Below are 14,878 nucleotides of genomic sequence, written 5' to 3' on the forward strand. Positions count from 1 at the left end.
AGTCCCAGCTACTCCAGAGGCTGAGGTGAGAGGATCGCTTGAGCCCAGGAGTTCGAGGCCAGCCTGGGCAACATGAAGTACATGTCCCATGCTAAAGTACCAGCGGATGCAGGCAGTTCTGATTAAGCCAGCTGTAATTAATTCCTCATCTCCCTTCCCCATTACCCATTTTAGATTTCTCCTACTCTTAGTGGCGCCTATGTGATTTAGGTTGTTTACCAGGTGAAGTAACCCAGTAACTTGGTGAGCAGTTCAAGCCCTTTTGTGTGCTTCCATTGCTAGCCCCTGGCTGTGCAACCACTCCACTATTGCTGAGCTTGAAAAACCAAGAGAGGCACCAAGGAATACCCTGTTATGCATATACCCACTCCTGCCTCCATTACCCCCTTCTCTGCCTGCTGGTTGATGAACATTAGCCCAAAGTGACCTGATGGCCTGCACAGCTTTAGGTTTAGTGGAACCACTGCTATATTCTCTAGTGAAAACACTTCTTTTCTAGGAGGACAAGACTTCTAATCTCAGAGCCAGTAATTGGAGGGAAGAGAAGTTCAAATTCCCAAAGTGGGTCACTCAGAGTGATGGTGAGAGGAGTTAATCCTAATTCTACCCTTTGGTTCACAGACTCATGTATTCTAGCCATTGGGGACGTAGTTTCATGCAATGGTCAGTTCAATACCCACCTTGCATCATAGAGGAAGTACCTCCACCCTATAGGGTGTCGTCCCTTAGGTAGCTTAGCTAAGCCTTTAAAAGAGATCTGTCAGGGAGCCTCTTTCAGGGGTGTGGTATGTGGTAGGATGGTAGATCCTGTGGTCCTGCACTCACTCTGATGCCTCCCTCACAGTGAAACAGGTTCCACTAACAGTGGTGATGTCTGCAGGATTTCATGTCAGTACGTCAGGTGCCCTGCACATCTGTGGATAGTGGTGTTCTCAGAGGCACTGCAGCAGAGAAGGAAAAGCAAACTCACATTCAGAATAGAGGTAAATTCTGGTAAAGATGAACTCTGCCCCCTCTAGGTGGAAGTGGTCTGATCTAATACATTTATTTATTTGGTAATAAATAAATAAATAATAAATTTACCAATTGTCTTGGTGAAAAAGAGTCCATGCTGGATGATGGATGAGGCCTTGAATAATGGCCTTCCCTGCCACTATGGCCACTCTCCATTTATTGTACAAGCACTGGGGTGGCTGGGGACAGAGGATGACTGACATCTACCAGCCGGTTCCTCCCATCTACCTGGTTAGTGAGTGTCCCATCTGTGCCGAATCTTCTCTAGTGGCATTGATGTGAGATACAAAGATCTGCACATTTTGCGGCCACTTCCAACAGTTCATCTACATGCTTCTTCCCACACCACTTTGTCTCTGATCATCTAAACTTGCCCCTTCTAAACCCCAGACCAAGACTAGCCAAGTTATTTGCCACTACATGGAAGTCCATGTATATCCTTATCTCATACCACTTCTCCGGGCATGCAAAGTGGACAAACAAGCACACTGCTCACAGCTCTACCCTCTAGGAGAGTTTCCCTTCATCACTGTCCTTTAGGGCCACCAAAGTGGTAGTTTTGACAGCTGTCCACTCTCAGGCAGCATTGATTATCTGAACCAATCCAGCCATGAACCAGGAATGAGCTGTGTTGTTCCTCCTTCATCAGTGAATCATAGAGTTCCTTCACTCCTGCCCCCATATTTATAGATGTGAGCTGAGAGACGTGTCAGGACAGCAGAGGTAGGTGACATGGAGCCCTGGGCCACCCTATACCCTCTGGACTTGCTCAGACCTGGTCCTGAATATACCATTTTCATCAAACCTTACCAACTTGTTAGATCTGACAATGTCCAGTATGTAATAGGAAACTCCTATCATATAATCACTTGATGTCCCACTTTCAGGTGCTTGATCTCTCTTGACCCCTTATCACATCAGAAGCTGTTTTTTTGAGTGGTGAGTAATTAAACAATAAATAGTCTCTTGAATGGAGTAGACGTGGCTTTCTCCAGAACCCTACCCATTCTGTATTGCAAATCTATTAGGGTTTGTCCAAGGTTTCCTGTAGCATCTTTTTCTACCATGGATACCCCAAGCACTGTTGGATCTGTTGAATTATATGGCCTCAACAGCAGAGTACATTGTCCTGAAGCCTAGAATTTCTGCAGTTTTCTTATGCTTTGGGTCCCACTCAAAACTGGTAGACTTCTAATGACCCAATAAATGAGTCAAATAAATAATCTCAAGCGCAATATTGGCTGCCTCCAAAGATCCAAAGTGGCCCACCAAACAATATACCTTTTCATAGGGGTAATCTTTTACCTTAGGATGCTGCAAACCATGGGACTCCTAAAATCTTCACCAATATGGCAGGACTTTGATACTGTAAATGATTTATGTTTCACTTTCATATGTTTTACTATGACATCCAGAGTACCGGCCACTTCCTGTTCACCAAGTCCAATTAACATAATGTCAGCAATATAGTATACCAGCATGGTGTGTCAAGGTGACAGAGAGAAAGAGAATATATATAGCCTTGGGGAAAGACAGTGAATGTGTACTCATATCCTTTCTTAGTAAAGCAGAACTGATCTTGACCAGCCTTCCTGAGGAGGCTTGAAGATGACTTGTTTGCCAGATGGATAGCCACAACCCAGGTACAAAAGGCTGTGCTGATCTGTTCCAGTGAAGATACCACATCCAATTCGGCAGCTACATGCAATTGGGACTACAACTTAGATAATGTTTCAGTAGTCTGCTGTTATTCATGAAAATCCATCTATTTTTTGCAGAGACGGTGTAGATGGATTGAATGGGGATATGATGGGGACGACCACCCCTGCATTTGCTAAGTTCTTGAGCATGGCATCGATCTCAGCCATTCCACTGGAATAGGGTATTGCTTTGATTTGCTATCTTAGGTGGGAATGGGCACTTTCTGGGTTTCCATTTGTTTCTTCCTTCCTGGTTCTTATTTCACAGGTCAGGAAAACAAAACGTGAGGGCTCTACCAGCTGCTCAGTCTATCCTTTCCAATTAAGCACACTGGAACTGAGGAAGTAATGACAGGGTGAGTCCTAACACCCTCATCATCACTACTGAGCCTGCCTTGACAAGAACTCCATTTATCACCTGCCTTCATAATTTCCCATCCTAACTAGCTGTCATCATGGAATTTCACGTTTTGCTGATGTCATTGTAAGGTTAGACCCTGTATACCCTGAAAAGTCTGTATATTTCCATTTTCTTAGTGTAAAGTTACACAGGTCCCTTTGGGGGAAGGTTTGTGGCATTGCAGGGTTTTTTCTCCAAGGGGGCCCAGTCTCCCCTCTAATCACTAGGCCAGGAGCCTGAGAACTGACTCAAATCTGGGAGCTAGGTGAGGGATTATCATTTTTCTTTTTGGCAGCAGACTTCAGATTTCAGCTTACCTTCTCTTAATATTTTTTTTTCTGGTTACACAAGTCAGGAAATATTCATGGTGGGTACTCATCTATCTTTCCTCTAGAAATAGCCTGTGTGTACAGGACCCTGGCTGGCACCTTGGCCTTGCTGCCATATGGTAGTCATATTCATTTTGTGGTAGTCATATTCACTTTGATGGCTGAATGCTGCTACTTGGCCTCTGCTACTCCAAAATATCTTCATCTTCAGTAATGTTAGAGAGGTCAGTTCTGTTGCCGCATTTCCTACTGTGAATCATAGACCATGGAAGACAATCACTAGTAAGATTCCCAACAATGCTGGTGGTCCCTCATGAGTGAGTTTGTTATTTTTATATAAAGGGCATGTCTTCTTGGCCTCACAGGGAACAAGATCAAGGTCTGTGGTCTTACATAATAAATCCTCCCTGGACTGTCTGACTCCTTCCTCAATACCATGCCATGGCAAATATGGCATCTTTCCCTCATTGACTGTGGGCTGTCACCTTGTCCAAGCTTCAAGAAACCTCTGACCAGCATTATTAGGATCGGCACAATTGTGCTCTTGAGGACAGTGAGTTATAGGAGAGTGTCAGTAAACCTTCCCTAGTCACTCTTATGTATAATACCCACACCTCCTGACCCAACACTCTCAAGATCTGCCCCCATATGTGTTTCTCTGACTTCTGCTGCTAAGTATTAGGCCTTTCAACTCTTGATGAGTAAACCAGTCACCAAATACTTGGTGAATAGTTTTCATTTACTGCCTTTGCGTGGGACTTCATTTCCTTCTCTGGGGTTTTGCAGATAATGGACCTTAACTAGTGGGCTGGAGGCAATGAGGGGATGTGAGGATGCATCCTGTGAAGGACAAAAGTCATCTTGTAAGTATTCCCCTCAAGTGAGGACTTCCTGTGGTACCCAGGTAATGGGTGGCTGCTTTCTTCTAGCAAGGGAGAGGGGGCTGCTTCTGTTGCCCCAGAGATCAGGGAAATCCTAGGGTTCAGTGTTCTCAGACTCATCTCGGTGGGAGTGGCAATGACACTTAACTCTAACGGAAGCATTTGGTGTCTATGGTATCTATAGATTATATAAGTTTCCTCCACAGTGTCCTCTGCCATGCTGGACAGAAGTGGGTGGTAAGACGGTATCATTTGGTGGGAAGAGTCAATTTCCTTGGGCAGCAGCAGAAGCTCAGCATAACCATTCATTTAAAGCCAAGAGGGATGCAGGTATTTGATGGTTAAGGTTAGGGGATAATGGGCCGGGCACAGTGGCTCACGCCTGTAGTCCCAGCACTTTGGGAGGCTGAGGTGGGCGGATCATGAGGTCAGGAGATTGAGATCATCTTGGCTAACACGGTGAAACACCATCTCTACTAAAAATACAAAAAATTAGCCAGGCATGGTGGCATGCACCTGTAGTCCCAGCTACTCGGGAGGCTGAGGCAGGAGAATTGCTTGAACCTGGGAGGTGGAGGTTGCAGTGAGCCAAGATCACGCCACTGCACTCCAGCCTCGGCGACAGAGCAAGACTCCATCTCAAAAACAAAAAACAAACAAAAAAAAAGGTTAGGGGATAATAGTTTAGGTGGGTACTGGTCAGGGGGAGAAACGTAGTCAGTGTAGTCAGAGCCATGAAGAACAGTAAAGAAAAGGTGAATGCAAGGTTGCATGACTGTGGAAAAGGCTATGTGAACATGAGCCTCCTCAGCTGTACACTGAAATGCTCAGATGTGCAGCGGCAAATATGACCATGTTATTGAAGATTAAAGAGAGACAGAAGATATCTGCCTCTGACCATTATGGTCTAACTCATATCAGAGAAACAGATAAGCCCTCCTACTGAAAATAACTAGAAAAGCTGAATACAATACAAAAAAACCATTTGAGGAGGTGTAGATAGATATCAAGGCAGTCAGACTTGTGGGACCAACATCTCAGAGAGAAGGGGAAATGTTGATATGAGCCAGACTTTCTTCAGTACTTTTCTTCTTGAGGCATTTGATGATTCCTAAGATGGCGCCAGGTGAGGCTCTGCACAAAGCAGAGAGCCTCAACTAAGGCACAGAGAAACCAAGCAAAGCTCCCCAGAATTTCACAGGACTGTAGAGAAGAAAATTGGGTTTTAAGACTACCAAGGCAAATAAAATGTAAGGAGTCAAGATTCTGGAACAGAAGAAAACACAGTTTTTGTTCACTAGTGTATCCTGCTATATATAGAACTGTGCTTGATACATAATAGATGCTCAATAAATATTTGTTTAAATACACTTTGATGATGCAAAAGAAATCTGAGGATAAATGGGTGACTACAAAAGAGAACCTGAACCAGATTAATTTTTTTTCTCTAGGCCACTAGTGTTTACAAGTTGTATTTAAAGGTATATGCAGATATCAATAAATCTATCCATTCTCAATGGATCTGTTTCCAAATGCCACATTAAGCAATTCCAATCAACCTAGCATTATTATAAGAGCTTTGGCATGAAATAGAACTAGCTTTGCCTTCTCTCTCCACTCTCTCCACTGTTAACCATGCACATGACCCTGATCAAGCTACTGGACCCCTTTGAGTCTCAGTTTTCTTGCCTGTAAAATTGGGATAATAATGTCTACCTGCAGGATTAAATGAAATAAAATGTGTTAACCTTTATTCATTCAGCAATTATTTAGTGAGTACCATGTTCTAGGTGCTTTCATAGGTACTAGGGGAAAATTCATTCATCCTTCACTAGCTATTTATTGAGTTATAGACAATATACTGGTAACTGGGGAAAAAGTCAAGAGTCCCTGCTCTCATGGAGTTTGCATTTTAAAAGAGGGAGACAGCCATATTTTAAGCAAGATAATGGAAGTAAATATTAAATAAATTAGATGGTGTGATGGTTAACGTTTTGGGTCAACTTGACTGGGTTAAGGGGTGCCCAGATAGTTGGTAAGACATTATATTTGGGTGTGTCTGTGAGGGTGTTTGTGGAAGAGATTGGCATTTGAATTGGTAGAAGATTTGCTTTCATCAGTGTGGGCAAGTATCACTCAATCCATTGAGAGACTAAATAGAACAAAAAGGTGGAGGAATGGTGAATTCTTTCTCTCTTCTCTGGTTCTGAGACCTTCAGACTCAGGCTGAATTAGACCACTGGCTTTCCTGGGTCTCTAGCTTACAGATGCCATATCATGGGACTGCTTGGCCTCCATAGTCACGTTAGCCAATTCCCATAATAAATCTTATTTTGTCTCACTCTATATATCCTATTGGTTCTGTTTCTCTGAAGAACTCTGGCTAATACAGATTGTGATAGGTATTTTTGAAAAAAATTCCAAGGGGGGAAGTGGCTGGAGAAGCTGTGTGTGGTATGAGGAAGGGGGAAGTCACAACCTTCTCACTGGGTACAACTCAGCATTGGTGGCCAAGTCCTGCATCCAGAAGCATGCAGTAAAGCCCATGTCTCTGGTGTGCAGCAGGCACACCTTGGCACTCCTTGGGTTATCTCCTGTTGCTGCTGCTGCTGCCACTAAAGGAGAAACATATGAACTTGATGACTCTGTGAGCCTATGTCACGCCTGCTGGATTACTGGTCACAGCTTCAGTTTACCCTGCTAATTCCCAAACATATGCATCCATGTAGACTTGCAGGGGTGCCAGGTATTCAGTCTCACACAGCAGATATTTCTCTTCTACAGCGAAAATGATAACAAAGGCTGGATGTTTACATAATGGCAGAGAATTGTCTTTGTGCCTATTTCTACATCTGCACAATTTGAGAACTTGGGCAGACCCAGGTCTAGAGTGTATACAATGCTCATTTTATGACTGTAGTAGAAGTACAGAGTTTCTAGAAGAGGAAAGAAATCCATTATCTCCCCTAATGGATGTTATAGGGAGTTTCTACTAAATATTGCATAAAATAAACTTAAAACAATTCTCTGTACTGAGTTTATGATGCAGTCTATGGCTCCCACAAGAGAATAAATGATAATGGAGAGAGAAATATTTACCAAACCCAAAAGTAGGAGCCATTTATTTAGCCATTAACTGGGAAATTGGCAATGTTAAAATTATTGTGCTAAAGAAATTCATTTCTTAAACACATAAATATCATGCTCATAATTTAAAGGTTTCATTTTTAACTGTTCATTTAAGGGAAGAGAAGGATTAGTAGACTTTCATTTTAGGTAGACAGGAAAATTTCCATGGACAAAGAGAACTTGGTAAATAGCCTCTATGGACCTCATATAAAAGGAAAGGTTGGATGTTCCTGAGAGGATTTCTTCAAAGAAGCTGTCATTATTTACCGAATAGCTGCAGAAAGCCACAACCCCTTTATGTAACTTGGAATGCCCTCTTCTCTTCTTTGTGGCTGCCTCATCCTTCCGTTCTTTCCTTTAGGGCTAGGTCAGCTCTCACAACCTCCGGGCAGCTGTACCCGAATATCCCGGCACACGCTCTCATCTTTTCTCCACCCACCTGTCCCATGGATTGTCTGAGCTACATGATATACTTCCTCATGTTTTCACACACATGCGTCTTGCCTCTCCTAACAAAGCAAGAAACTGATTCTCAATAGAAAGGGGCAGTGATGCTTCTAATCGGCGTCCACACTCATTCTTGATACTGGGATGGGTACTTCACTTACGTTTAACAATCTGGTATGAATTAAAAACTTAAATATGACCCTAAAACTTTCCCATGCATCTGTTTACCTCGAATGCATGACTGACAGACTCCCTTCTACCTGGAATTGCTTTTGGGAAATAAAATGAAGATTTCTGAATGTTAACTGCCTTCATTATTTGGAGCTTTAAGCTACCAAGTAGCCATAATTACCATTAGGAAAACAGAGAAAATAATAAAGCAATCTAGAAGAGAGTCTCATTTTGACAGACCTAGGGTTAGGAAGGTGGGGAGGGTGATCACATTTAAATGAATTATTTTTTCTTGGTTAAAAAGCAATGCATATTCATGTTGGGAAAAGTAGAAATTAAATATAGGCAAAAGAAGAAAATAAAACCACTGACAATCCTACTCCAGAAGAAAGCACTATTTGCATTTCAGTTGATATCCTTCAGGTCTTTCTTAGTTGTATGTATTTTCCTACATATGTATTTTTCTTTCCAAAAATAGAATCATTCTGAAAACACTATTTTATAACATGCTTTTCCACTTCGAAATGTATTCTGCATATTTTCTCATGTCATTGAATTTTCTCTTGTGCATCCTTCAGAATGGCCGACTCTTCTTGACATCTGTTCTTTCGTCACATCCTGTATCCAATATGGCAGCAAATCCTGTTGGCTCTGCTTCTGGAATACAGCTGGAAGTTGGCCACTTGTTCAACCCTAGTCCAAGGCAACATTATCTTATGCGTTAAGAGTTTCCTGGCAGGTCTCTTCCTTTCTGACCTTGTTACTTGATGTCTGTCTTCAGCATGGTAGTCATGGATCTTTAGAAACCTTGGTTAGATCTTGTTACTCCTCAGCCTTCTCTGTCCCTCAGCTGGTGCCCCTTGTTCAGAGAGAACTCTGAAGACCTCAGTGTGGTCCACTAGGCCCCAAGGCATCTGGCTGACTCTTATCTACTGCTCTTTCCCCCTTGCTCACTCCACGTCAGCTGTGGTGCTTTCCTTGCTATTCCTTGAATACGCATGGAGTCTTAGGGCCATGCATTTGCTATTTTCTACAACACTCTTTAAACACTCTCTGCCCACAGCTTGCTCCCTTGCCTTCTTCAGGTTTTTACTTAATGTCACCTTTTCAATGAGGCCTTACCTGACCACTCTATTTAATAGCTTCCCACTCCTCCACAACCCCTCCTCATGCACGTTTTCCATTCTCCTGCCCTGTTTTATGTCAGCACCCTCCTATGTGCCACAGACTGCACTTCTATGAAAAGTGTGTGGTGCTTGCAGTCTTTATTTCCCACCAGCATGCAGGCGTCACAAGGGAAGGATTCCTGTCTGTTGTGTCCACTGCATCTCTCACATTTCCAGAACAGTGCATGGTACAGAGTAAGCACTTGATAAACATTTTCTGAATGAAGGAATAGCCTGCCACATTTTGATAAATCATAGTATATTTAACCAGCCCTGATGTTGGGCATCTGATTGTACTCAATTTTTCTTTACTATTGTAGATAATGCTGTAGTGAACTTCTATTCATCCACTAAACCTTTTCTGCATACACAACTTATTTCATTAGAACAAATTTGCAGAATAGGGGATACATTTTTAAGGCCAATTTACTTTCTTTTTTTATTATACTTTAAGTTTTAGGGTACATGTGCACATTGTGCAGGTTACATATGTATACATGTGTCATGCTGGTGCACTGCACCCACTAACTCGTCATCTAGCATTAGGCATATCTCCCAGTGCTATCCCTCCCCCCTCCCCCCACCCCACAACAGTCCCCAGAGTGTGATATTCCCCTTCCTGTGTCCATGTGATCTCATTGTTCAATTCCCACCTATGAGTGAGAATATGCGGTGTTTGGTTTTTTGTTCTTGCGATAGTTTACTGAGAGTGATGTTTTCCAATTTCATCCATGTCCCTACAAAGGACATGAACTCATCATTTTTTATGGCTACATAGTATTCCGTGGTGTATATGTGCCACATTTTCTTAATCCAGTCTATCATTGTTGGACATTTGGGTTGGTTCCAAGTCTTTGCTATTGTGAATAATGCCGCAGTAAACATACGTGTGCATGTGTCTTTATAGCAGCATGATTTATAATCCTTTGGGTATATACCCAGTAATGGGATGGCTGGGTTAAATGGTATTTCCAGTTCTAGATCCCTGAGGAATCGCCACACTGACTTCCACAATGGTTGAACTAGTTTACAGTCCCACCAATAGTGTAAAAGTGTTCCTATTTCTCCACATCCTCTCCAGCACCTGTTGTTTCCTGACTTTTTAATGATCGCCATTCTAACTGGTGTGAGATGGTATCTCACTGTGATTTTGATTTGCATTTCTCTGATAGCCAGCGATGATGAGCATTTTTTCATGTGTCTTTTGGCTGCATAAATGTCTTCTTTTGAGAAGTGTCTGTTCATATCCTTCACCCACTTGTTGATGGGGTTGTTTGTTTTTTTCTTGTAAATTTATCTGAGTTCATTGTAGATTCTGGATATTAGCCCTTTGTCAGATAGGTAGATTGCACATTTTCTCCCATTCTGTAGGTTGCCTGTTCACTCTGATGGTAGTTTCTTTTGCTGTGCAGAAGCTCTTGAGTTTCATTAGATCCCATTTGTCTATGTTGGCTTTTGTTGCCATTGCTTTTGGTGTTTTAGACATGAAGTCCTTGCCCATGCCTATGTCCTGAATGGTAATACCTAGGTTTTCTTCTAGGGTTTTTATGGTTTTAGGTCTAACGTTTAAGTCTTTAATCCATCTCGCATTAATTTTTGTATAAGGTGTAAGGAAGGGATCCAGTTTCAGCTTTCTACATATGGCTAGCCAGTTTTCCCAGCACCATTTATTAAATAGGGAATCCTTTCCCCATTGCTTGTTTTTCTCAGGTTTGTCAAATATCAGATAGTTGTAGATATGCGGCATTATTTTTGAGGGCTCTGTTCTGTTCCATTGATCTATATCTCTGTTTTGGTACCAGTACCATGCTGTTTTGGTTACTGTAGCCTTGTAGTATAGTCTGAAGTCAGGTAGTGTGATGCCTCCAGCTTTGTTCTTTTGGCTTAGGATTGACTTGGTGATGCGGGCTCTTTTTTGGTTCCATATGAACTTTAAAGTAGTTTTTTCCAATTCTGTGAAGAAAGGCATTGGTAGCTTGATGGGGATGGCATTGAATCTGTAAATTACCTTGGGCAGTATGGCCATTTTCACGATATTGATTCTTCCTACCCATGAGCATGGAATGTTCTTCCATTTGTTTGTATCCTCTTTTATTTCCTTGAGCAGTGGTTTGTAGTTCTCCTTGAAGAGGTCCTTCACATCCCTTGTAAGTTGGATTCCTAGGTATTTTATTCTCTTTTTAGCAATTGTGAATAGGAGTTCACTCATGATTTGGCTCTCTGTTTGTCTGTTGTTGGTGTATAAGAATGTTTGTGATTTTTGTACATTGATTTTGTATCCTGAGACTTTGCTGAAGTTGCTTATCAGCTTAAGGAGCTTTTGGGCTGAGACAATGGGGTTTTCTAGATATACAATCATGTCATCTGCAAACAGGGACAATTTGACTTCCTCTTTTCCTAATTGAATACCCTTTATTTCCTTCTCCTGCCTAATTGCCCTGGCCAGAACTTCCAACACTATGTTGAATAGGAGTGGTGAGAGAGGGCATCCCTGTCTTGTGCCAGTTTTCAAAGGGAATGCTTCCAGTTTTGGCCCATTCAGTATGATATTGGCTGTGGGTTTGTCATAGATAGCTCTTATTATTTTGAGATATGTCCCATCAATACCTAATTTATTGAGAGTTTTTAGCATGAAGGGTTGTTGAATTTTGTCAAAGGCCTTTTCTGCATCTATTGAGATAATCATGTGGTTTTTGTCTTTGGTTCTGTTTATATGCTGGATTACATTTATTGATTTGCGTATATTGAACCAGCCTTGCATCCCAGGGATGAAGCCCACTTGATCATGGTGGATAAGCTTTTTGATGTGCTGCTGGATTCGGTTTGCCAGTATTTTATTGAGGATTTTTGCATCAATGTTCATCAAGGATATTGGTCTAAAATTCTCTTTTTTTGTTGTGTCTCTACCCGGCTTTGGTATCAGGATGATGCTGGCCTCATAAAATGAGTTAGGGAGGATTCCCTCTTTTTCTATTGATTGGAATAGTTTCAGAAGGAATGGTACCAGTTCCTCCTTGTACCTCTGGTAGAATTCAGCTGTGAATCCATCTGGTCCTGGACTCTTTTTGGTTGGTAAGCTATTGATTATTGCCACAATTTCAGATCCTGTTATTGGTCTATTCAGAGATTCAACTTCTTCCTGGTTTAGTCTTGGGAGAGTGTATGTGTCGAGGAATTTATCCATTTCTTCTAGATTTTCTAGTTTATTTGTGTAGAGGTGTTTGTAGTATTCTCTGATGGTAGTTTGTATTTCTGTGGGATCGGTGGTGATATCCCCTTTATCATTTTTTATTGCGTGTATTAGATTTTTCTCTCTTTTTTTCTTTATTAGTCTTGCTAGCAGTCTATCAATTTTGTTGATCCTTTCAAAAAACCAGCTCCTGGATTCATTAATTTTTTGAAGGGTTTTTTGTGTCTGTATTTCCTTCAGTTCTGCTCTGATTTTAGTTATTTCTTGCCTTCTGCTAGCTTTTGAATGTGTTTGCTCTTGCTTTTCTAGTTCTTTTAATTGTGATGTTAGGGTGTCAATTTTGGATCTTTCCTGCTTTCTCTTGTGGGCATTTAGTGCTATAAATTTCCCTCTACACACTGCTTTGAATGTGTTCCAGAGATTCTGGTATGTTGTGTCTTTGTTCTCGTTGGTTTCAAAGAACATCTTTATTTCTGCCTTCATTTCGTTATGTCCCCAGTAGTCATTCAGGAGCAGGTTGTTCAGTTTCCATGTAGTTGAGCGGTTTTGAGTGAGATTCTTAATCCTGAGTTCTAGTTTGATTGCACTGTGGTCTGAGAGTTTGTTATAATTTCTGTTCTTTTACATTTGCTGAGGAGAGCTTTACTTCCAAGTATGTGGTCAATTTTGGAATAGGTGTGGTGTGGTGCTGAAAAAAATGTATATTCTGTTGATTTGGGGTGGAGAGTTCTGTAGATGTCTATTAGGTCCGCTTGGTGCAGAGCTGAGTTCAATTCCTGGGTATCCTTGTTGACTTTCTGTCTCGTTGATCTGTCTAATGTTGACAGTGGGGTGTTAAAGTCTCCCATTATTAATGTGTGGGAATCTAAGTCTCTTTGTAGGTCTCTAAGAACTTGCTTTATGAATCTTGGTGCTCCTGTATTGGGTGCATATATATTTAGGATAGTTAGCTCTTCTTGTTGAATTGATCCCTTTACCATTATGTAATGGCCTTCTTTGTCTCTTTTGATCTTTGTTGGTTTAAAGTCTGTTTTATTAGAGACTAGGATTGCAACCCCTGCCTTTTTTTGTTTTCCATTTGCTTGGTAGATCTTCCTCCATCCTTTTATTTTGAGCCTATGTGTGTCTCTGCAGGTGAGATGGGTTTCCTGAATACAGCACACTGATGGGTCTTGACTCTTTATCCAATTTGCCAGTCTGTGTCTTTTAATTGGAGCATTTAGTCCATTTACATTTAAAGTTAATATTGTTATGTGTGAATTTAATCCTGTCATTATGATGTTAGCTCGTTATTTTGCTCGTTAGTTGCTGCAGTTTCTTCCTAGTCTCGATGGTCTTTACATTTTGGCATGATTTTGTAGCAGCTGGTACTGGTTGTTCCTTTCCATGTTTAGCGCTTCCTTCAGGAGCTCTTTTAGGGCAGGCCTGGTGGTGACAAACTCTCTCAGCATTTGCTTGTCTGTAAAGTATTTTATTTCTCCTTTGCTTATGAAGCTTAGTTTGGCTGGATATGAAATTCTGGGTTGAAAATTCTTTTCTTTAAGAATGTTGAATATTGGCCCCCACTCTCTTCTGGCTTGTAAATTCTTTTCTTTAAGAATGTTGAATATTGGCCCCCACTCTCTTCTGGCTTGTAGGGTTTCTGCCAAGAGATCTGCTGTTAGTCTGATGGGCTTCCCTTTGAGGGTAACCCAACCTTTCTCTCTGGCTGCCCTTAACATTTTTTCCTTCATTTCAGCTTTGGTGAATCTGACAATTATGTGTCTTGGAGTTGCTCATCTCGAGGAGTATCTTTGTGGTGTTCTCTGTATTTCCTGAATCTGAACGTTGGCCTGCCTTGCTAGATTGGGGAAGTTCTCCTGGATAATATCCTGCAGAGTGTTTTCCAACTTGGTTCCATTCTCCCTGTCACTTTCAGGTACACCAATCAGACGTAGATTTGGTCTTTTCACATAATCCCATATTTCTTGGAGGCTTTGCTCATTTCTTTTTATTCTTTTTTCTCTAAACTTCCCTTCTCGCTTCATTTCATTCATTTCATCTTCCATCGCTGATACCCTTTCTTCCAGTTGATCGCATTGGCTCCTGAGGCTTCTGCATTCTTCACGTAGTTCTCGAGCCTTGGTTTTCAGCTCCATCAGCTCCTTTAAGCACTTCTCTGTATTGGTTATTCTAGTTATACATTCTTCTAAATTTTTTTCAAAGTTTTCAACTTCTTTGCCTTTGGTTTGAATGTCCTCCCGTAGCTCAGAGTAATTTGATCATCTGAAGCCTTCTTCTCTCAGCTCGTCAAAGTCATTCTCCATCCAGCTTTGTTCCGTTGCTGGTGAGGAACTGCATTCCTTTGGAGGAGGAGAGGCGGTCTGCTTTTTAGAGTTTCCAGTTTTTCTGTTCTGTTTTTTCCCCATCTTTGTGGTTTTATCTACTTTTGGTCTTTGATGATGGTGATGT

Source organism: Homo sapiens, chromosome 6 (assembly GCF_000001405.40).
Source record: "Homo sapiens chromosome 6, GRCh38.p14 Primary Assembly".
In the NCBI taxonomy this organism is placed as follows: domain Eukaryota; kingdom Metazoa; phylum Chordata; class Mammalia; order Primates; family Hominidae; genus Homo; species Homo sapiens.